This window comes from Homo sapiens, chromosome 5 (genome assembly GCF_000001405.40).
Source record: "Homo sapiens chromosome 5, GRCh38.p14 Primary Assembly".
Classification (NCBI taxonomy): Eukaryota; Metazoa; Chordata; class Mammalia; order Primates; family Hominidae; genus Homo; species Homo sapiens.
Genome location: NC_000005.10, coordinates 82,194,444 through 82,220,213, shown reverse-complemented (window position 1 = coordinate 82,220,213; position 25,770 = coordinate 82,194,444). Strand labels below are relative to the sequence as shown.

Here is a 25,770-nt window from a genome sequence, read left to right as displayed (position 1 = left end):
CACCAGCATTAGCTGATTAGAATTTGTTTGCTGGTCCTGTCTTTGTGACCCTGCACGCACTGCTCACTCCCTCTTATTCCCTTCCCCATGTGCATGACCAACAAATGCTGATTCAGTTGGTGGATTACTCCATCTATGAGGCCTTTGCTTATTCTCCCAGGCAGAAAAACTGCACTTGTTCCTTCCTAACTCCTTAGATACCTTTACAGTGGCTCTCCTACTGTTTTGCAATTGCTTGTTTGCACAGCCATCTCCCCACCAGAATATAAGTTCTTTGAGGGCAAGGACTGTGTGTTAGCTGTGTTCTATCCCCAGCACTAACCATAACAACTGCTCATAATAGGTGCTCCTTTAATATTTGTGAATGAGAGAAAGAGGAAAAAATAAATCACTTCTACTCCCTTCTCAGATTCTAATAAGTCCATAAGTAATTAAAGCATGTAGAGCAAACAGTATAGTTAAAATTGGCTTGGCTAAAAGTAATGTTAGTAATGAATGTGAGGTGAGTCTTCTCTCTGTGGCCAGGTGGGCAGCAGCTAATGGATGTGAAGGTGTTGCTGGTGATTGGCCCAACAGTCCTTGCCAGAATGGTGCAGCTGTATTGGTTTTAGGCTCCTAGTCTGACTCCTAAGCAACATATAAGCCTCAGCACAGTCTTGTGGCATGTGAAAGTCTCACTAGCTACAAAGACAAGGCTAATATGAGAGGACTATTTGGGTTATAATATAATACCATTACATGCCAACACTATGTGTCTGCAGGACCTAGTAAACAGTCAGTGCCTATTAAATGTTTCCTATTAACATAGATTTTCACCAGAAGAGAAGGGAATCAGTGGAACCGCCATCCTAGCATGCTAATTAATTCTCTGTGTGAAAAGAAGTACTAATCTCCATTTTAAAGCATCAATCATGGAAAATAAACTCAAATGTGACCAGATTTTAAAATACTACTTGTTCTAAAATCAGATGTAAATGAAAGCTTTCAGGATTCTGCAAGAGGCGATTACAGTGTACATGGTACTATGAAACCCCATTTAAACTCAATCTTCTAGAAAACTTTAAAATACTTTTTCCAGTTTGAAACTGTTCTCTAATATCACTCTTCATATGCTTTCCTTGTCTAAGAAGCTTTGCTCTGTAAAAATTTCTCCCAATTTTTAAGTAAGATATTACAGAATTTCCCAGAAGCATTAGCGACGGTTCCTTAGCAACTGTTGATATGTCTCAAAACAACCTGAGACAATCTTCTCTGAGACATGTAGTCTCTCCCTCTCTCCACTAACAGAATTCCACAATATGGCAAAAAAGATTCGTGCAGCTAAAAATAGCTTCCAACACACATTTTTAAACTTGACAGAGTCTTAATGATTTAAGTCTTCCATATCACAGCTTGGGTTAGGTGCGCCTCAACAACAGTATATCAAAGAGCTCTGTGCAGAGAGATTTTAGAATCTTTTTCTTTTTTAATCACACCATTAACACTCCTGACATTTCAGAAATAATGTTTATCGATTTTGGTGTTAGCACTCCCATAAATTAAGTGATGTAATGGACGGAATTATTGTGGTACTATAAAGAATGTGTCATTCAGATTGTTAACTACATATGAGAAAAAAAACACAGAGACTCTGGATTCATGTAAAAATAGCCCCAGATCTGGCTAGTAAATGGAGATGAAGGAAAATGACATATCCCAGTGATGATGGGTCTATCTCCACCACTCCCGCCTGGCTGCTGTACCAAAACAACTGAACCTGTTTAATAAAAGCAAACTATAATAGCAATGATCATTCTGTACCAACAAAAAAAACTCCCTAGGATGAAAGTAAGACATATGAATTTAAGGTTATTCTCATCAAAGAAATCAGTATAAATGAAAAGTATTAGGAATGGACAAAAAAGCATTTTGAATCTGTAGCAGGAAAGAACCACATGGTACAGAAAGCAAAAATGGTCCCTGATAATCTGTGGGGCTATAAACTTCCACAGGGAACTTGTTGTTATCACTAGTAGATGAGAGTCAGAGTCTAGCCAAAATCTGTGATTGTGGTTCTGGGTTGATGAAGTTGAAACCTGTGAAACCACCATGTAACTGATAGGTTAAAATAATTCCTGTACGTGTGATGTGTGTGTGTGTGTGTGTGTGTGTGTGTGTGTGTAAAGAGAGAACAGTGTTCTGTTATAACCTTCCTTATGCAGCTGTTTTTTTGTTTGGTTTTGTTTTGTTTTAATTTAGAGACAAGGTCTGGATCTGTTGCCCAGGCTAGAGTGCAATGGTACAATCTCAGCTCACCACAGCCTTGACCTCCTGGGGTCAAGCGAGCCTCCTACCTCAGCCTCCCGAGTAGCTAGAACCACAGGTGCACACTACCACACCCAGTTAATTTTTTTTTTTTTTTTTGGTAGAGAGGGGGTCTTGTTATATTGCCCAGGCTGGCCTCAAATTCCTGGGCTCAAGCAGTCTTCCTGCCTCAGCCTCCCAAAGTGCTGGGTACAGGTGTGAGCCACCACACATGGCCAGCTGTTTTGAGAATTAAATGAGACAATGCATGTAAAGCATGTTGCCTGTGTAAACTGCTGCCAATCAATATTATGCCCTATATGTGTATGTATATGGGTGTGTGTGTGTATATATATGCATATATATTCTACAATTTGTCACAAAAGATTCATGTGGCAAAAAATAGCTTCTGACACATACACATATATATGACAGGATATATAAGGGATAAGATTGCATTTATACCTTATAAGAATTATAAGGTAATATAATATATAAGCACATAGTAAATGTAATATTACTATGTAATAAAAGTAGTAAATGAACTAATGCACATAAATAGCACAGTGTTTAGTAAATAACAAATGCTTAACAATGTTCGTTGTGGTCATCATCACCATCACCACCATTATTTCTCCCATTTTATATAGGAGGACACTGAATTTCCAAGGGAGTTAGGTAACTTACCCAAGGCCAAACAGCTAGTAAGAGGCTGGGCTGAGACTGATGTCTGTTTGATTGCAAAACTCATGATCTTCCCAATTTTACTATAGGCCTAAGCATTCTTACAGAGTGGTTAAGTATTCTGCTTCTATAAAACAGGTTTCAAGTAAAAAGAGAAGATAGTTGTTGCTACCATCGTCATTTTTTTTTTTTGAGACTGAGTCTCACTCTGTCACCCAGGCTGGAGTGCAGTAGCGCAATCTCGGCTCACTGCAACCTCCACCTCCCGGGTTCAAGTGATTCTCCTGCCTCAGCCTCCTAAGTAGCTGGGACTACAGGCACGCACCACTACACCCAGCTGATTTTTGTATTTTTAGTAGAGATGGGGTTTCACCATATTGTCCAGGCTGGTCTTGAACTCCTGACCTCATGATCCACCCACCTCGGCCTCCCAAAGTGCTGGGATTACAGGCATGAGCCACTGCGCCTGGCCTGTTGCTACCATCTTCATTCTTATAGCTGTGGACTCAAATAAATCTAATGAAACTCCTAATAGCATGAGTTTTATTGGTTTGGCATATTACAATAATCTATTGCTAGTGTAAGACATTTCCTGGTCATAAGGCAAGTATCTAGAAGTGGCTTTTGCTGAAGTGTTGCCAGTCTGTCATTGATCTCCCATTCTATTCATACCTAATTAGCATGCTTGAAGTCTCACAAGTTGCTCAGGTGGCTTACTTGATTCTGGTATTTTAAAACAATACTATTATTGTGGATGTGATGCATAATTTTACCATATCAGAACATCAAAATCCATTCATTAAAGAATCTATCAAAGTCTGGATGTAAGTTAATAATATATGTCTCTTCTCTGGTCTGGGTATGAAAAAGGAAAGTTACTTGAAAATAAGAGGGTAGAAGATTTATTTTTAGACCAGGATATACTTAGCTAATAGTCTTAAGCCAGGGTGGCTCCAGGCCAGAGCGAAATTCACTAAGTTGAATCTCTTTTTGTTGCCCTTCCTTTTTACTCTGAAGCAGACAAGGTAATAAGCAGTGGGGACATATCTAGGATCTACAGAATATTTCTGCAGTTTCTATTTTCTAAATCATCAAGCTGTTCTTTAGTTTTATAGAGCAGTTTTTCAATTGTTGAGGATCTTTCTGCAGAAAGGCAATTTGATTTCTATCCTTGGCTCTTCGATTATACATTCTATCATCACTAAACATTGATTAAGCCTGCTGCAATACACTCCCTTGTATTTGGGTCTTTGAATTCTCAGAAGGTCATTATTTATTACAATGTAACAAATTGGATTTTTTTTTTTTTTTGAGATGGAGTTTCGCTCTTGTTGCCCAGGCTGGAGTGCAGTGGGGCGATCTCAGCTCACTGCAACCTTCACCTCCCAGGTTCAAGCTATTCTGCCTCAGCCTCCCGAGTAGCTGGGATTATAGGCGCCTGCCACCATGCCCAGCTAATTTTTTGTATTTTTAGTAGAGAATGGGGTTTCACCATGTTGGCCAGGCTGGTCTCGAACTCCCGACCTCAGGTGATCCACCTGCCTCAACCTCCCAAAGTGCTGGGATTACAGGTGTGAGCCACCGTGTCTGGCCTGGAAATATTTTTAAAATATGGTCAATGCAGGTGCTGTATTTATCAGTGTTAGCCTTTGTTTCAGGACAAAATGAGCTGATGTTTCTTAACAAACATGACATTTAATTCAAGTGTTTTTTAAAGATATATAAAAATTAATTTTTTCTTTCTGAGAATATCACCATTGAAAAAACTCAAGGTCTGGTAGGCAGCTTTCTAAAACGGTTCAATAATTCCCTTGTGTCCCCTTGCGTATGGGCTGGATCTACTGTCTTGCTTCTAACAAATAGAATATGGCTAAAGTGATGGGAAGCCACTTCCATTACTAGGTTACAAAAGGTTGTTATGTCTACCTTACTAACACTCTCTTTTGCTGGCATTCTCTCTTGCCCTCTCATATCCTGGCTCTGATAGAGTAAGCTACCATATTGTAAGACGTTCTATGGAGAAGCCCACATGGCATATAACTGAGGGTGGCCTCTCAGTCCAAGAGCCTGTGAGGAACTGAGTCCTGCCAACCTTCCCCATCAAGCCTTGAGATGACGTCAGCCCAGTGAGAGACCCAGAACCAGAGGACTCATCTAAGCCATGCCTGATTTCCTGGCCCACTGAAACTGTAAGATTATAAGTGTATTAAATCATTTAAGTTTAGGTAATTTGTTAATAGAAATAAATAAAAATAAAAGCTCTGAAATACATGTCTTCATCCATGCTATTTAGTAAATATTTAACAGGAGCCTCTTATGTGCAAGGTGCACTGGAGTTCCTCTTGGCTGGGTACTGGTAATACAGTGGAGAATGAAACACACATGATCCCTGTCCTCTGGGCCCAGGAGAAGATTATCCTGTATGCTCTTGCCTGGCTGCCAGTTTGCACTTGTTTCCCCATGGGAGTCTCAATGAGGGTTAGCTGCCACCTCGTAAGAGAGTCCCTCCACCTTGAGAGATCCACTCTCTTGCAGAAGGCCTCTGGTGAGCTATAGTCTAGTCTGAAAAATTATTCCCTGCTGCAAGGGGCCTAAAGTCCTCTTCTCAGGCACAACAAGATCCCAATCATATACAGGTAGTGCTATTTTCATTCTCAAATTCTTTTACACATAAACGTAAGAATGAGATTTGAATAAAAATTTTCATATATTAAAAAAATCTTCATCCTATTAGCCTAATCATAATAGTAATTATAATTAGAAACCAATTATAATTGTTGCAACAACAATGCAACTGCAAATCTTTTGTAAATTAGTAGTCTTCGTTTGCTGCTACTAAATTATTCCTATCAAGCTTACAAAATATCATACATTTAGCGAATTACAAGGCGTATTTTTTTGGTTGTAGTTTCACCTATGAGAAAAGTTAACTCTATTCACAGATTTTGTGGCACATTCTTTAGTGGCAAATTTGCATTTGTAAATGTAACTGAAGATCAGTTACATTTTTTGAAAAGTCTTAAGTCAATCATATTTAAATATTTGTGATTATGATGTATTCTAAGTATTTACAAATTATGAAATGTTCAAAGTTTACCATGTGGAAGTCCACATGGTATGAGCAGGTATGAGCAGACATCTTACCCTTCTAGTTTCTGGCAGCACAGTTAGGCCAATGAGTAGTTTAGGTAGTACATGGACATGACGGTGAGGCAGAGCCTCATATGAAACTGGTGAAATCAACTCAAAGTAGTCAGGATCACATTTGCTCAGAAGTCACCTTAGTATACAATATCTAAGGCCCAAAGTCGAGAGAGAGCAACTCTGCTTTGAATAATTCTGAAAGAATGTATCAACAAAAGAGAGATAATAGCAGAGATCAGAGAAAGATAGGAGTCAGAGGGCAGACTTAGGCAGTGCTCCCATAGCATCATCCAGGGCAGAGAATTCTGGAGTACTTATCCACCTGCTAAACACTGGACTTATTGAAGGCATAAAAGACATGAATTCCGCTCTTAGACACCCTACATTCTAGTAGACAAGATGACAGCGTGACTGGTCGAACTGGTAGGAATATGCATGGAGTTGGCCACACAAGGCTGGATGTTACCTTTAAGATAGATTTAACTCTTTTGCTTTGCTTCTAGGTTCACCAGGTAATATTCTCATTATAAGGTGGTTTCCAGTAATCTTCCTGAATTCTTATCAGCTGACACAAGCTTTCCAATTTGCTTGGCAGTTACAGTTCATCATTCTAAATTAATACACTGGCATTCTAAGTCTTCCATATCAGTCACTCAAGAGTTTGCTTAGCATTCTCTGCATTTTGCCCAAATAGCTAAAGCAAGGTGGTGGCCAGAGGAAGGAAGCTCACCAGGTAAGACTAGGAGAGATATCTGGAAACAGACAAGGCAAGAGAGAGGTAACTAGCCAAGACCACGGTCAAGAGGAACCAACTCTTAGTCTGGAATATGTTAACTGGCTTCAGGTCCAAAGGGGAAATTTAAGAGAGAAATTCGTGTATGAAGAACAAAGTCAGTATCTTTGAGTTAAACTAAGTTCAAAATGGAATAAAGTCAGGAAATAAATAGACGCAAAAAGTTCAGGACTAAATGAAATCAAAGGCATCACTGGTTATTTTGGCCTGAGAAGCTGGGAAGACAGTGGTATCATTTGTTGAAATGAAAAAGGCTTGGTAACGATTTGGAGAGGAAAAAAATCAATCCTATTTGGACTACCTGAAAGTTTGAGATACCATAAAATTATCGTATTGCTGGTTTAGATAAACTAGCCTGGAGTGCAGAGGAGTTTCTCAGCTGAAGGCTAACTTTAGAGTCACTGGTATATTAAAGATATTTAAAAACATGGAACTGGATAGAACCACCTAGGGAGAGAATGTAGACACAGAAGAGAACAGGGTCAAAGACAAAGCCCTGGGGTACTCTAACATTTACACGTCCAATATAGGATGAACTTGAGAAGTGGGACTGCCCAGTCAAAGGGCATATGCAATTTAATAATTTTGCTAGATTTTACCAAATTGACCTTCATTAAAGTTGTATCTGTTTACTCTCAATGGCACAGTATGAAAGGGCCCTTTTGCCCATACCCTTCCCAATACTATGTGCTTTCAAACTTTTATATCTTTGCCAATATGGTAGGTTTAAAATGGCACTTCCATGTAGTATTAATTTGTATTACTCTTTTTATTAGTGAACTTGAGTATCTTTTCAAATATTTAAGATACTTGTTTGTACTTGTCTGTGAACTGCCTGGTTCAAAATCTTTGAAGGGAAAGTTTCTCAAGATAGTTGATAATAAAGGTGCTTGTATACCAATGGGAAGAATCCTATGGCAAGGAGACATAATGATGCAAGAGAGAAAGGGTGTTGCTTCAGGAGTCATCCTTGAGAAGAAAGAGTTTAGGATTCAGAGCACAAGGGAGGGAGCTGGCAGTGGAAAGGGGCAGTTTCTCTTTTCCCATAGTAACAGAGCAAAGGCAGAGAGTGTGGGTACAGAAGTCAGGAGGCTCTAGAATAATGCTGAGAAGATAAGGTGGCTCTCTTCTGATTATATCTATTCTCACTATGAGGTATAAGTAGGCAAAGAGGAGCTTAGGCCACAAGAAGGAAAGGTGTGAAATATTGCCTTTGGGGAGACAGAAAGTGAATTACTAGAGGAGGGGAATAGAATGACTTGGCAGTTTTGCATGTCCGTTGAGATTCATGGTCATCCATTTGAAGTGAGCCTTGACAAGGGGGTTGTGTGATTTTTCTCCAGAGATGTTCAATTGCTTGGATATGGGTACAACATGGGAGAGATACAAGGATATTAAAGAGTTTGAAAGAGAATGATTATTGGCCTGGGCCATAGAATCTACACTGGGCATAGAGAGATGTGAGAAAGTTGAGATGTGGAGGTGGTAACAGTGAGAAGCAGAGGCATTAATGGATGAAGAACCCAATGAAGTTGGGGGACGCTAGAGTTGAAATATGGGAGTGTGAGAAGCAGGGAGTACCTGAAAGCAATCAGGAGAGTGGGTTAAGCCCAGGCCCCAAAGGAGCTGGAGATTTTCCACAGGGATGAAGGAGTCCTGAGCCTGGAATGGCAGCTTGAGATCTGCAGGAAAGAGAAGGTGCAGGGGAAGCAGAATCCTCTTGAGAGAGCCAAAGTTCAGTTGACGACAATAGCTAAAAGAAATATTCAATGAAAGAGAATGTAGGGAACCTTTCCACCATGGAAAAGGAATTCCAGAGAGCATAGTGGAAAGTATAGCAGGGAAGGGAGAACTGGGAAACAGGGTCAGAGGAGAGAAAGGACAGACAGGAATACATATAAGTACCCAGGCGTGTAGGGCTAGATGAGTGGAGGCACTTACATCATGAGCAGAGAATAATCCAGAACCTGTAGATTATATATAAGAAATAATAAAATCATAATACACTATAAGATAGGAAGAAATGAGGCAGTTTTCATAAATGTGTACTACATAATAATTCACAGAGTAGTAAATTCCTAGCAGATAATATTGCAACTGGTTCCCTTTGGACATAAGATTTTAGAATCCCATCATGCACTATGGAAAGAAGTCGATTCAGTGTTTTACAACTGGGAGCTATCGTGCTGAAATTAAAACCCAGAAGTTTTCTTTATGATGATAAGCCTCCTTATCTCTACAGGAGGAATTTTAAGTTCTAATTAAACTTCTAAATTAACCTAAATGGAAGCCCAGCTCATTTAATAGAATCCTAGAATTTCAAATTACATGGAAACTTAGATGTCATCTAGTTCAACCAACCCCATCCTAAAGAAAGAAAGGAAGAAAGATAGAAACTATATTAACTCTCCCTGCCTCCAAACTCTCCAACTTCCTCAGTCTCTTCTCAGCATATATCATACATTCTTGTCCTGAGTAAAACCTGACAGCCCCTAAGGACTCTATTTTCCTTGCAGCCCTCTTTAGTAGAAACTCAGTGCCTTGAGGTGGGGCAGGTATTATCATTTCCCACTGCAGACTCCAAAGTTCCCTGCCCTCGCCATCAACCTCCTTAAAAGCCCCAGCTTAAATAAGCTCCATGTCCAACATGGTTCCCACTAGGAACTAGGAAAGCTGGGGAAAAAAAAATCTGTTTGAAGGCATCAGAGTGTTACAAAAACACTGAGGAATTGTGGGTCAAAGAATCAGGAGAAAAGGGAAGCCCAGAGAAATGAGCCTGGTATTTGGAAGATTACTGATCCTGAAAGTTCAGGGTATACCAAGGAAGAGGAGCCCTGGTAAACACATAGGATTTTAGATGGGATTTGGAAAGACTACACTTCAAAAGTAAGGGTATTGGAAACAGATCAGCTCTCATAGGGACTGAAACCCAACTTGGAAACATCTCAATCCTTGGCTGGATTAATGTGATCAGAAATTGCTAGTGCCCCTAAGCTAGCTGCCTCCCTGAAGCAGAAGTAAATCCTCTCTGGAGAAAAATAACATTTCACAGAGCCTTAAAGTATCTCTGTAAATTTTTTATATGCACAACATCTGGCTCTAAATAAAAAGAAGCTATTACATACACATTTCTATGAAAAGACTTGACCAAAACCCAAGAGAAAAAACAGACAATAGAAACAATGCACATAATCCAGATAAAAGAATTAACAGACATGGACTTCAAACTTCTATTAATGTGCTCAAGACAAGCTTGAGAATTTTGGTAAGGAAGTGGAATTTTTAAAATTTACTAAATAAAAGTTCTAGATCTGAAACTACTACATCTCAAATTTAGAATTCAATGAAAGACTTTCAGAGCAGATTAACAAAGATAAAACTGAAAGACTGGTCAGGAAAAAAATTCAGAATGAAGCACAGTGAAACAAAAGTCAGTGGGGTGGGAGAGGCATAGCAGACATATGAGATATGGTGAAGGGGTCTAAATACCTGTAACTGGAGTCACAAAAAGTGGGGATAGAGAAACTGGGGCAAAAGCAATCTATTTAAAGAAAAAATGGCCCAAAATTTTCAAAAACCAATGAAAATCATCAAGCCACAAATTAAAAGGAAACCATGAATCTCGGGAGGATACATATGAAGACTACATAATATGCAGACACATATCTTAGTCCATTCAGACTGCTGTAACAACAATACCATAAACTTGGTGGTTTATAAACAACAGACATTTGTTTCTTACACTTCTAGAACCTGGAAAGTCCAAGATCAAGGTACCAACACACATGGTGCTTGTTAAGAGCTCGTATCCTGGTTCATAGATGGCCATCTTTTTGCCATGTCCTCATGGCAGAAGAGGCAGGCAGTTCTCTGAGATCCCTTTAATGAGCACACTAATCCCACCTTGAAGGCTCTTCTCTCATGATCTAATCACCTCCTAAAGGCCTCACCTTCAAATACCATTACATTGGGGATGCATAGGTTTCAACATACGATTTTTGGTGGAAGACAAACATTCAGTCTACAGCAATATATAACAGTAGAAAAAAACCATGAAGTTAATATTAAAAGTAGCCAGGAAAAATTTTTTTAAAAAAGACGACCTTCAAATAAGTCAGATTAATATCTATGGAAGAAATCAAGTTTTTTATTAAAAATCTTTCCAAGAAGAAAACTCCAAACCCAGATGGCTTCACTGATTAATTTTCCCAAACATTTAAAGAAGAAATAACATCAGCAAAACATAAACTCCTGCAGAGGAAAGGAAAAAAAAAAGATCCCTTCCCAGCTCATTTTATGAAGGTAACATATGCTTGATCTCTAAAATTGACAAGGACATTATAAGAAAAAAAATTGCAGGCTAATTTCTCTTATGAATATGAATGAAAATGTCCCAAGCAAAATGTTAGCAAATGAAATCCAGCAATACATTAAAGGGATACTATATTACAACGAAGTTGTATTTTTTCCCCAGAATACAAGTTGATTTAACATTTGAAAATCAATTAAAGGAGTATAACAGAAAAATCATTTGATTATCTCAAAAGATGCCAATAAAGCATTTGATCTTTTTAAAACATCAACATCTCAAACACACTGACTCAACTAGGAATAGGATAAAACTTCTTTAATTGGATAAAAAATATCTAGCAGAAAATCTAATGCAAACCTCACACTTAAAATATTGAAGGTTCTCCCTCTGAAGGAAATGAGATAAGAATACCCATATCCACTTCCACCCAACAATGTACTGGTGGCCCTAGACAAAACAAGAAGCTAAGAAAATGCAACAAAAGACGCGCCAGTTCTATAAGTAGAATACTATAAAACAATATTAAAAGAAAACATTAAAAACTAATCAATGGAGGATGTACCATATTCATAGATTGGAAGAGTTAATTTTGTAAAAATGACCACTCTCCTCGAATTGACCTCTAGATCCAACTTATTATAATACCAAAGTCCCGGTATTATTTTGTGAAATTTCACAAGCTGCTTATACAATTTAAATGGAAATTAAGAGTCCAGCATAGGCAAGGAAAAAAAAAAAGAATAGTTAGGAAACTTTTTTTGCTGGATATCAAGACTTATTATAAACTTATAGTAATAAAAATAGTATGGTATTGACACAAGGAAACAACTGAATGGAACAGAGAATCCAAAAACAGATCCAAGAACATGTGGAAACTTTATGTGTAACTAAGGTGACAAAGAAATGCAGAAAGCACAATCTTTTTCATAAATAGTGCTGAGAAAATTGGATATCCATATCGGGAAAAAATGAAATATGACTTGTATCTCATACTAAACTAAAACTAGTTCCCAGTGGCTCATAGATATAATCTAAATAACATAATAAATTAGTTAAAAAATATCTAGAAAACAAATCTGTCCAATAACACAGTTAACAGTCACATGTAGCTATTTTAATTTATTACAGTTAAAATGAAAAATCCAGCTCCTCAATCACATTAGCCACATTTCCAGGGCTCAGCAGTCACATGTGACTAGTGACCACTGCATTGGGCAGTGCAATATATACATTTCCATCTTTGCAGAAAGTTCTATTGGACAGCATTGGACATGAACTGTCTTCATGATCTTGGGGTAGACAATGATCTCAAACAACTACAAAAAGCATAAAAAATACAGGATATGATTCTTAAATTAGACCACATTAAAATTAAAAACTTCTGGTTATCAAGACACTACAAAGGAAATGAAAAGTCAGGCTACCATGCTGAAAAAGCTATTTGCTATATATACATCCATCAAAGAACTCATACCTCAAATTTGTGAAAAACTCCTATAAATCAGTAAAAAAAAGACAGGCAACCAAATAGAAAAAAATGGCAGTAGGCATGAACAGGAACTTCACAAAACAGTAGATGAACCTCATTAATCATTAGGGATATGAAATTTAAACTATAATGATACACCAAAATGCATCCACCAGTAGGGCTAAATTTAAAAAGACTGACAATATCAAACAGTTATCAGAACATGGAGCAACTGAAATTCCTACACTGCTGATGGGAATTTATATATTGATAGAACAGTTTTAGAAAGCTGTTTGGTATTAACTAGTAAAGTTAAACATATATATGCATGTCCTATGACCCAGCAATTCTATTCTTGATATATACCCAATAGAAATGCATACATACATATATGCATCAAAAGACATGATCATAGAATGATCACAGTCAAAACCTGGGGCAGGGGGAACCACATGGCCATTAATAGTAGAAAGACAAATTGTGATATAGTCATAAAATCAAATACTGTATTATAATACTGGCAAATACTATATTTATAGCAATAAAAATTAATGAACTCCTACTACATGGAACAACATGGATGATTCTCACAAACACAAATTGGGTTTAAGTAACCAGAATTAAAAGAATACAATGTATAGAATATGATTTCATCTATACAACATTCAAAAAACAGGCAAAACTAACATAGGGCTTTAGAAGTCAAGACAATTGTTACATCTATGAAAAAGGGAGAGAAAGTGATTGGGAGTAGGTATAATTTTACAAATGTTCTGTTTCTTGACTGGGCTACACAGATGGAATCATTGAGTTGTGTGATAATTAAGGATCTGTATACTTCTTACATTACACTTCAATAAGAATTTTTTTTTTTTTTTTTGAGATGGAGTCTCGCTCTGTCGCCCAGGCTGGAGTGCAGTGGTGCGATCTCGGCTCACTGCAACCTCCGCCTCGCAGGTTCAAGTGATTCTCCTGCCTCAGCCTCCCTAGTAGCTGGGACCACAGGCACATGCCACCAAGCCTGGCTAATTTTTTGTATTTTTTTAAGTAGAGACGGGGTTTCACCGTGTTAGTCAGGATGGTCTTGATCTCCTGACCTTGTGATCCGCCCGCCTCAGCCTCCCAAATTGCTGGGATTACAGGTGTGAGCCACCGCGCCCGGTGAGAAGTTTTTTAAAAATCAGTTCCTTTGATATACATGCCATCTAGCTATAATACCTTCCAATCCCTCTTCCTTTCTGTTGCTTACTATGTTTGCCTCTCTCCAAGATTTTAGCATTTGATTCACAGTCTTTCCTTCTATCTCAAGTTTCACTATTATCCAAGATGACTTTACATCCATGTGGTTGCCCCATCCTACGCTACAGCCTCTCTTTCTTGACTTCCATGTCAGCATAGCACTCCAATAGCCACACTCAGAAACTTATCAATACAAGAATCACTCCCCACTTTAAAACAACTCTCAGACCAAATATCCTATGTCTTCAGATCTCTTAGTCAACTATTCTCAAGATTTCAGTTCCTTGACTTCATAGGGATCTCTAGTCCCCTTTTTCTATAGCTCTCTTTCTCTCTTCCTTATTAAACTTAGGTTCTATTCTTTGTCACACCAACCACTTTCTTACCAATAGTATCAACTTCCTTGCCTACTGTCTTTCCATCTTAACCCCTTGCAAAAATCCCAAATTTGGCTGACTCTATTTTGTACATGCATCAAAGTTGCACTGCTTAAGAAATCAAATAATCTGGCCTATCTCAAGCGTAGCTTCCATGCCTTCTGTTTGTCCTAATATATTTCTCTAGTCTACTCTTCCATCTCCCCATGGAAAGAAGTCAAATCTTTTCCATTTGTTCTAAAGCCATAAAATCTCTCTCTGACAGCAGATTTCACATGTCCAATTTCACAGAAAATAAAAAATAAAAACCATAAAATGTCCTTTCTTGCCAAACTAAAAATACATCTGAATCCATACTCATATTTTGTCGTCTATAGCTTCTGTTAAAATGGAAGTCATCCCTTGTCCCACTACCATCCTACCTTTTCTAGGACTTTGCTCTTTCAGTTCTCTTCCTCCTATCTTCCCTTCCTCCTGTCTTTCCTTTCAGTTTTTAAAATAATAAAGTCTTTCTCATCTTAAAAACAAACAAGTAAATTACAATGAAAAATAAAATTCTCCTCCATGTCCCTCTGCAAGAATCACCCTATCTTCCTCTCCCAATTCATCAAAAAAAATATTTATTCTCTGTCAACTCCCTCATCTCCCAGCTCAGGCATCAAACCACATTCTGCTTACTCACCACAGTACACAAATGACGTTGTTGTTGCTGAACCCAATGGGCACATTTCAGTCTTTTCTTACCTGACTTCTCTGAAACACTGGATAGGCTCACAGTGTTAAAAAGCAAGCAAGCAATCAAACAAACAAACAAAAAACATGCCTCCAGGGCTCAAGAATCTCTTGTGTTTCCTCGTACACTTCTGACCACCCTCTCTTAGTACCTTTCACAGGCAGTCTTCTGTTCTTTTAAATGATGATATGCTTCAAAATTATCTCTTAGGCTATTTTTTCCTTTCATTTTACATCTGCCTAGAGACCTTATCTATTCTCATGGCTTCAATTACCATTTATTGCTGATAACGTCCAATTCTACATTTCTATTCCTGACATGTCTCATGAGGTTCAGAGACATGCCACTCAGATATCTTGCATACTCTTTAAACTTAGGATCTTGAAAACGGAATTCATCCTATCCCTCATCTATGAATTGCATCATCCATAAGCCAATTTCCCCAAACACTGTCAATTCCACCTCTTAAATGTAGCTTCTTTTTATCTCTAGTATCATTCTTTATTTCCACATGCCTCTGCTACCATGTAGGCCATCATCCTAGTTTGTTTGGGTTACTTCTCCCTCTTAACTCATCTCTCCTTGCTTCCAGTCCTGCTCCCTTCCAATCATTTCCATTCTATAGCCAGAACATGCCAAAATTGTTTATTTAAAAATTTGTTTTCTCATTAAATTGTAAGATTCAAGAGAACAGAGACCATGTCTATCTTGCTAACCTCGCAATTACTATAGGTGTCTGGTACATTGTAAAATACAAAAATTATTTATCAAAAAGATAAATAAACTGGCATTATTGACTTCATCTAATATGGAAGTAATACAGAAATGCTCTAAAGACTTCACGGGAATATCACTCATGTCTGCTTTTGCTCTTCATTGTACCCCAGAGTCTAGTATAAGTCTGGCCCCTATTGTTGAATCAATGTATAAGAATAAAAGCAAAATATGAGGTTAAAGTGCTTTGGAAGGTGTTATATAAAACACTACACAAATAAAACATACAAAAAATAAAGCAGTACTACTTCCCACATGCAAAAATAACTGAATTGCCAGTTTAAAATTGTCACTTTTACCCTTATGGTGTTCTCCCTATCCTCTTCCATGTTTTATTTATTTCCATAGCTCTTTTCATGTTCTATCATACAATATAATTTACTTCTTTTGTTTATTGTTGTCTCCCCCACTAGAATATAAGCTCCATAAAAGCAGCAATTTTTACCTATTCTGTTATTGAGTACCTCATAGGTGCTCAATGAATATTATTAAATTAAATTGATTATACCTGGGACCGCAATAAAAGTGTTAAATATTTATCTTACTTCATTTTTAAGATAACACACTGGTTAGATCCTTTTATCTCCATTTTAGAGATTTAAAAAGCAGTCACAAGAGTCACATCATTTCCTTAAGATTGGAGCAGAATGTCATAAGAGGAAATCAAAAAGACAGAACAAACAGAAACACAAATAAGATAAAAGGAAAAAATTGAAACATATCAGTCATCATAATAAAGGTAAACAGATTAAACTCCCCTGGCTTACAGACAAAAACTAGAGTGGAATTTTTAAGTACAACAATATGAGATAAAAAATATATATAGCACTTAAACATAAGGACACAAGACTTCTAGTGCCAGCCAACATGGAGTAAACCCACCACAGCCTATCTCTCCCACCGATTAAAACTAAAAAAACAAAATTTAAAAAGCAACTACCCTATGACTCTGAAAAGTTAACGATAGTAGCAGACTGGAAAGACTAGCCAAAATTCAAATAACCTCTTTGGGGGTAAGTCACCTGGTTTTTCGTCTTTTATTTCCTGGCTTTGACCCAATGGCTGCCCCACTGTGGAACTGTGCAGGGAGGGTAAACAACCAAACACTGGAAGAAACCCCACTTCTGGCCAGACAACCTGGAAAGGTGGAAAATTTCCCCATTACTTTTTTTTTTTTTTTAGATGGAGTCTTGCTCTGTCACCCAGACTGGAGTGCAGTGGTGCGATCTCGGCTCACTGCAACCTCTGCCACCCAGGTTCAAGCAATTCTCCTGTCTCAGCCTCCTGAGTAGCTGGGATTACAGGCATGCACCACCAAGCCTGGCTAATTTTTGTATTTTTAGTAGAGACGGGGTTTTGCCACATTGGCTAGGCTGGTCTCAAACTCCTGACCTCAGGTGATCCATCTGCCTCGGCCTCCAAAGCGCTGGGATTACAGGCATGAGCCACCACACCCAGCCCCCCATTACTTCTTTTGTCTTTCTTTCTTTCTTCTCTCATACCCCTGCCCAAAGAGTAGTCCCTGTCATAGACCTGCACTGCAATGGCAGCTTAAACCCTTGAGAGAAACGTGTTTCAGGCCAGGGGAACTGGAAAAGGGAACAGTATGGCCTGAAGGCTGCAGTAGAATACCATTTTTTAATTTGTTTGTTTGTTTTTCTTTCTTTTCTCTTGCTGTTTTGCTCAAGAGTAGTACTAGTCACACGGAACTACATGGAACAGCAGATCTGGAAGCTAAAACTCCAAGAGAAGCCCTGTCTTTCTAGTGAGAAGCCCAGGAAAAGGAGCCTCTGAGATCCCTAGAGTGTGGGAGAAATACTGGAGAGCACATAGCTGGAGTAATGGATCCCTCAATTCTGTGTACAGATAAAAGTCTTAGCTCACCCCTGTATAGATACAGGTAAAGAAAGAGAGAGACAGAGATTTATTTCAAGGAACTGGCTAACATGATTGCGGATGTCTGGCAAGTCAAAAGTCTGCAGGGGGGAAGAGTTGTTTTTAAGAGTCCAAAAGACGCTAGCAGAATTCCTTCTTGCTCAGGGGAGGTCAGTTTTTTTTTCTGTTAAGGCCTTCAGCTGATCAGATGAGACCCACCCATCAATATGCTTTACTCAAAATCTACTGATCTGAATATTAATCTAATTTTAAAAATACCTTCAGAGAAACAGCTAGAATAATGTTTGAACAACTATCTAGATACCATAGCCTGGCCAACTGACACAAAAAATTAACCATCATGGCCCTCATATCATTGCTATTCAACATCATTCTATAAGTCTTAGCCAGTGCAATGTGGCAAGAAAAAAGGAGAAAGGTTAGAAAGGAAGAAGCAAAACTGTCTTCAATTGTCAATATAGAAAACCCCTCCCCAAACTATAACAAAGCTCCTAGAACTACTAAGTGAGTTTAGCAAGGTCTCAGAACCTATGGACAATATACAAAAATTAATTGTATTTCTATATACGAGCAATAAACAACTAGAATTTGAAAATTTAACAGATATTAAACATAATAGCATCCCAAATTGAAATATTTACATAAAAATTTAAGGAAATGTATACAGGATCTGCATGCTTAAAACAATAACATACTAATGAAAGAAAGCACAGAAGACATACAAGAATGGAGAGTTATACCTTATTCACACATTAGAAGACTCATTAAGATGTTAATTCTTTCCAAATCAACCCACAGATCCAACACAATCCCAGTTAAAATCTCAGCAGTATTTTTCGTGGGTATTCAGAAGCTGATTCAAAAATTTACACAGAAAGTTAAAGGTTCCTTCTTGAAAAAGAACAAAGTTGGAAGACTCATTCTTTAGAGACAGGGTTTATCAAGATTTAATATAAAGCTACAATAAGCAAGGCAATGTGGTATTGGTGGAAGAACAGAAAAATAGATCAATGAAACAGAACAGAGAGTCCAGAAATAGACCCACTCAAATATGGTCAATTGATTTTGACAAAGGTGCAAAGGTAACTGAATCAAGAAAGCTTAGTATTTTAAATAAATGGAGCTGCACCAATTGGACATTCATATACAAAATAATAAAATAAACCTCACAGCTTACATAAAAATTAAATCAAAATAAATCCTAGACATAAGCTTAAAAATAAAAATAATAAAATGTCTAGGAAAAAATGTTTGTGACCTTGGGCGAGGCAAACAATTCTTAGATAAAATACCAAAAGTGCAGTAGATTTAAAAAATATATTTTTAGGCCGGGCAAGGTGGCTCATATCTGTAATCCCAGCACTTTGGGAGGCTGAGGTGGGCAGGTCATCTGAGGTCAGGAGTTCAAGACCAGCCTGGCCAACATGGTGAAACCCCATCTCTACTAAAGATGCAAAAATTAGCCAGGTATGGTGGCAGGTGCCTGTGGTCCCAGCTACTCGGGAGGCTGAGGCAGGAGAATTGCTTGAGCCCGGGGAGCAGAGGTTGCAGTGAGATCACGCCACTGCACTCCAGCCTGGGTGACAGAGAGAGACTCTGTCTCAAAATAAATAAATAAATAAATAAATAAATAAATAAATAAATAATGTATTTTTAAATAAATTGGACTTCATACAAATTAAAAACTCTCACTCTGTGAAAAACTGTTAAAAGAATAAAAAGAAGTCATACACTGGGAGAAAGTATTTATACATAACATATCCGCCAAAGGACTTATATCTGGAATACGTAAAGAACTGTCAAAACCCAACAATAAGAATATAAAAGAATCTAATTTAAAAAAAATCCAATGTTTAAAATGGGCAAATAGCTGAGAGTGGTAGCACACATCCATAATCCCAGCCACTCAGGAGGCTGAGGTGGGAGGATCACTCCTGAGCCCAGGAGTTCAAGGCTGCAGTAAGCTATGATTGTGCCACTGCACTCCAGCCTGGACAAAAGAGTCAGACCCTGTCCCTCAAAAAAAAAAAAAAAAAAAAAAAAAAAAGAAGTTAGGGAAAGATTTGAAAAGATACTTCATCAAAGAAAATATACGAATGGTAAACAAGCATATGAAAAGATATTCAACATCATTAGTCATTAAATAAGTGCAAAACAAAAACCATAGTATGATACTACTACACATATATTGTTATAGTTAAAGTAAATAAATAAACTGACAATACCAGGTGCCGGTAAAGACATGGAGGAACTAGAATTCCCAGAAATTGCTAGTGGGAGTATAAAATGCTTCCAATGCTTTGCAAAATAGTCTGGCATTAAAAAAAAATTATCATATAGACCAGAAATCTTACTCCTAAGTATTTATCCAAGAGAAATGAAAACTTACGTCAACCAAAAACCCTACAAATGAGTGTTTTTAGTAGTTTTATTCTTAATCACCAAAAACTGGAATCAGCCCAAAGGTCTTTCAACTGGTAAAAGGATAAACCAAATGCTGTACATTCATACAATGGAATACTACTCAGCAATAAAAAGTTATAAACTATTGATATATACTGAAACATAAATGAACCTCAAATATATGTGCTAAGTGAAAGAAGCCAGACTCAAAAGCCTAGAAATCCATATATGACATTCCGAAAAACGTAAAACAATAGGGACAGAGAACAAGGGTTTGGGGTGGGAGAAAAGGTTGGCTACAAGGGGCTGCACAAGGGAATTTGGGTGGAGGAAGGATGGAAATGCTCTGTATCTTGATTTTGGTCAGTTACACATCTCTGCATTTTTCTAAAACTTATGGAACTGTCTGCCAAAAAAGGTAAACTTTACTGTATGTAAATTTTTTAAAATAATGTTCTGTATGCAAGGAAATGAATAAACCGGAGCAAGTTTAATAGTTAAAAGGTAGAGAAAGATTTACCAGACAAATGCCAAAAGAAAGCTAATATGCTTATATTGATATCAGGTAAAATAGTTTTTAGGTAATTTACCCCAAGACATAGCAAGGGGAGAACCAGCTTTGAATCCTGCCTCTTTCTTGCTGTAAAGTCTATGCTCCTTTCAATACATCTTAAAGACTCGCAAGTCTAGTTAGCTGTCAAGACTTGGGAAATTTATTAAAAAGAAAATTTGAGACAATCTCTAAAGACTCGCAAGTCTAGTTAGCTGTCAAGACTTGGGAAATTTATTAAAAAGAAAATTTGAGACAATCTCTCACAAGCACACAAATTCTACCAAGAAATAAATGTAGTTTTCATGTTTTGAGAAAAATCGACCAAAAATCAGTAAATATGTATCCAGGAAAATGTTTACTCAATTAATACTGGTGATACTGTTTTAATTTGAAGATTCCTTACCTTGTTTTCTTTTAATAACAGCAGAAATCCTTCATTACTCTTACTAAAATTTCAAAATTTTCACCAGGTTTCTCTTTAAAAAGAAATAAATATGAGCATTTTGCATTGAAGATTCCCTGTGGCTGAGATAAATGATCAGAAGAAGCTGCCTGCTTTTAACTGGAACATTTTCAGGAAAAACTAGGAGAAAATTAGCTATATAATGTATCAGTGTGAAAGCTGAATGTTGTACCTGGAAATGTTTACTGTATATCATGCTCCTTCTAGGAAGCTAATGGTAAATGATCATACTAAACATTAGGTAATACTTCACTGACAAAAATCAGGATGCTCGGTCTTCAGAAGAGTCAATGTGAAAAGTCAAGCAAAACAGCAATTAAATAGTTTCAGGCAAGTCCCCCAATCCCAAGTACTGTTCCCTTTCGGGAATTTCTTCTGTTAAAATAATAACAGTGGCCTGTCCTTAGAATGTGGCAAAATGAGAGCAATAACCTCTTAGACCATAGATTCAGGTTGTAAAATCTCTGTTTTTGGGGGCTGAGTTTACAGTTAAGGCTAAAACTACAGAAAACATGTAGATAGTGCACATCCTTGGCTGCCTTGGTGCCTCACACCTGTAATCCCAGCACTTTGGGAGGCTGGGACAGGCAGATCACTTGAGCCCAGGAGTTCAAGACCAGCCTGACTAGCAAAACCCCATCTCTCTATTAAAAATACAAAAATTAGCCAGGCATGGTGGTGCACACCTGTAATCCCAACTACCTACCATGTTGGGTGGTGGAGGCACAAGAATTAGTTGAACCCAGGAAGTGGAGGCTTCAGTGAGCCACGATCCTGTCACCGTACTCCAGCCTGGGCGACTTAGCATTCTATTTTGTTTATTAAATGCAAATCTGGTTTCTTTTGCTCACCTTCTACCTCACTTGAGCAAAGGTAAATTTTTTATACCACTCCCTCTTTATGTAGTCTAATATTATTTAGTAAGAATGTCTAAAAAGTAAATTTCCACAAAAACCTACAATTAAGCAAGTGAATTAAATGAAAATCTCAAGGAAAATACTCTGCATTACCAGCTAAATCCCCTTAGTCAACCTTCCCCAGGCCCAATCCTCCTATGCTTCTCAATTTCCCTCATATTTCACTCTAAAGTATGTGAGGAGTTCTATTTTTCCATGAACAGGGCACACAATACCAGGCATTAGCCAGGAATTGAGGAAAACATCATAGATCAAGAAATGGACTTCTTACTAAACTCCAGTCCTTTGCAAAAAGAGTTCTCAGGGTACTGAAACTCAGCTGAGGTAAGTCACCTGAACTGCTGAATGTGATACAGTAAAAAGAACTTAGTTTGGTTGAACAAATCATTTTATCTATAGAGATAGATAGATAGATAGATAGATAGATAGATAGATAGATAGATAGATAGATAGAAAGAAAGAAAGAAAGAAAATAATGGGACAGAGAGGTAAGGTATAATCAGAGAAGGATGCAATTAACCATTGGAGAAGGTGGGTGGGAAGAAAACGACTGAGAGGACAATGGGAAGTAATGTAAATAGGATTCATGCCACATCCAAATACCAAAGGATGGACACAGGCACAGGTCATATTCCCAAGAAAGACAGACAGACAGACAGATAGGTAGATAGGCAGGTAGGTAGGTAGGTAGGTAGGTAGGTAGGTAGGTAGGTAGATAGACAGATAGATAGATAGATAGATAAGCTGGTTAGGGTTAGAGAATTTTAGTTCTTGAACAATTTCTTTTTCAGACAACATGCTATTACCTGTATTCTCTCTGTCATCAAAAATCAAGACATGCCATAATGACATGATCTTTTATATAGAAAATCTTAATAAATCCACAAAAAACTATTAGACCTAATAAAAGAGTTCAGCAAGGTTACAGGATACAAAAAAATACACACAAAAAATCAGTTGTATTTCTACACTAGCAGAGAACAATATGAAAATGAAATTAAGAAAACAATTTCATTCACAACAGCATCAAAAAGAACAAAATATGTAGGAATAAATTTAATGAAAAAATTCAAGACTTGTCACCTGAAAATCTATACAACAGTGTTGAAAGAAATTGAGAGGAGCTAAGTAAATGGAAAGACATTCCGTATTGATGAATTGGAAGATAGAATCTTGTTAAGATGGCAATTCTCCTCAAATTGAAGTATAGCTCCAGTGCAATCCATATCAAAATTCCAACTGACATTTTCGCAGAAATTGAGAAACTGATGCTAAGATTCATATGGAAATGCATAGAACCAAAGCTAGCGAAAACAATCTTCAAAAAGAAGAACAAAGTTGGTGGGCTTACGTTTCCCAATTTCAAAAAATGACTGTTATAAAGCCACAGTAAACAAGACAGTGTGACGCTGACAAAGGATAGGCATATGAAACAGTGGAATAGAATTTGGCGTCCAGAAATAAATGCATACATCTATGGTAAATTGATTTTTGACAAGGGTGCCAAGATAATTAAGTGGGAAAAGAATAGTCTTTACAAATAATGGTTCAGAGACTACTGGATATTTATTAGTACATGCAAAAGAATGAATTTGCACCCCTACCTCATTGCTACATACAAAAATAAGTTAAAATAGATGAAAGACCTAAATGTAAAAGCTAAAACCATAAAACTCTTAGAAGACCACATAGGGTTTAATCTTTGTGCCCTTAGGATACGTAACAGTTTTGTAGATATAATACCTAAGGCGAAATAAATCTAATAAAAAAATAGATAAATTGGACTTTACCTACATAAAAAACTTTTGTGAGCCAAAGAACGCTATCAAGAGAGGGAAAAGACAACCAATGGAATGGGAGAAAATTTGCAAATCATATAGTCAATAAGGGTCTAGTATTCAAAATATACTTTAAAACTCTCATCACTCGACAATGAAAAAAAACTAATTTTAAAGTGCACAAAGGATTTGAGTATACATTTCTCCAAAGAAGAAATACAAATGGCTGATAAGCACATGAAAAAATACTCAACATCATTAGACATTAGCTAAGTGCAAATCAAAACCACAATTGGATACTTCACACCCAGTGGAATAGCTGTAATTTAAAAGAAAGATAATGCCAAGTGGACCAGAATTGGCAAAGATGGGGAGAAACTGTAACCCTCATACATTCCTGGTGGGAATATAAAATGGTGATGCCTCTGTAAAACTTAGTTTGGTAGTTACTTGAAATTAAATCATAGTGTTACTACATGACCCAGAAATTCTACTGCTAGGTTATATACACAAGAAAACTGAAAACATATTCATATAAAAACTTGTACACAAATCTTCATAGTAGCATTGTTCATAACAGTCACAAAGTAGAAACAACCAAAATGTTCATCAACTGATGAATGGATAAACAAAATGTCATATATCTATTATAATGGAATGTTACTCAGCTGTCAAAAGGAATAAAGTACTTATATGTGTTACAACATGGGTGAACCTTGAAAACATGCCAAATGAAAGAAGCTATAAGCAAAAGGCCACATATTGTTTGATTTCATTGATATAAAATCTCCAGAATAAGCAACTCTATAGAGAAAAAAGTTAAATTAGTGGTTGCCAACAACTGAGAGGAGGAAGGAATGGGAGCACACGTAAACTCGTGATAAACATAGTCTTTGCCTTCCCATACAAACCCCTCCAAGATCTCCTCTGGGCTGACCCTCAATGACCTAAACTTTGCTCCCTTAAGATTTGCAAACCATCACCCAGACAGTCACCAGTGTCTTTTGACTGGTTTAGAAAACCTCCCATCTCAGTGACTGGTTGGTTATGCTATACTTCAGATTTCTTTAGTCTCTGTCCAATTCTGGCTAAAAAGAGTTTGGTATGATTAGAGAGGTCCTGCCAAGTCTGGGGATAGAGTATTGTTTGCAAGCCAGAAAAAGACAGGAGGAATTTTTTTCAAGTAACATAGGGAACCAATATCAAAGCAAATGTTGGCAAGAGAGAGCTCAGGCTTGTGCATCAAGAAGTCTACTCTCAAATACCAAGTTCATGGGACCAGCAGGGTCAACACTAGGTTACAAAGCAAAGTGCTTGAAGTGTTTGAAGCCAGGCAACAATGAGACAAGAGTGAAAGCAGACTGTGAATAAGCAAGGAAGATGGGGTGACCTGGGTGACTTCCCTGAGCCACTTTGGTACATGTGCAGTTTGGCCATCTTTATCAAAGGTACAAGTTAGCTAGGTTAGCTTAATAACCCAGAAGCAAGGGAGTCACTATTGGCAGCGATGGAAACTTAAGCTCCTTAGTTTCCAAGTTAACTGGCTACATTTTCTGATTCCAAGGGAGTTCCAGAGCATACCTACAGGGCCAAAAGCCTGTCTCCTATAAAATGCCAGGAAAAAGAACTAAATTCAAAAGCCCTGATCACCTTCTTTTTGGGCCCTACTTTTAGAGGTTAGAAACTGCCTCCTTGTGAAAGAATGAAATCCATACTATCCAATATCCAAGGCTGTGGGATCTAAGCACTGTTTTTATTCAATCACTCAACAAAATAATTTTAGCAGATGAAAAGGTAGGCCTGGCCACACTGATCTCAGTTAAGATCAAAAGACTTTTTTTTTCTGAGCAACTTTTAAGAAACAAAATGGACTTACATATTCCCGATAACTCTCTTAAAATATAGACCTGTTGAATCCGGAATATTTAAGTTCATATCTTAATACTAAAATTC

At 37.5% G+C, this 25,770-nt stretch overlaps 1 protein-coding gene across 14 annotated transcripts in view; it reads right to left on the bottom strand.

Moving 5' to 3' along the window:
* ATG10 (autophagy related 10) overlaps positions 1-25,770 on the bottom strand; it is a 284,111-nt gene that overhangs the window by 35,920 nt on the left and 222,421 nt on the right. The gene's annotated exons all lie outside the window — the stretch shown is intronic.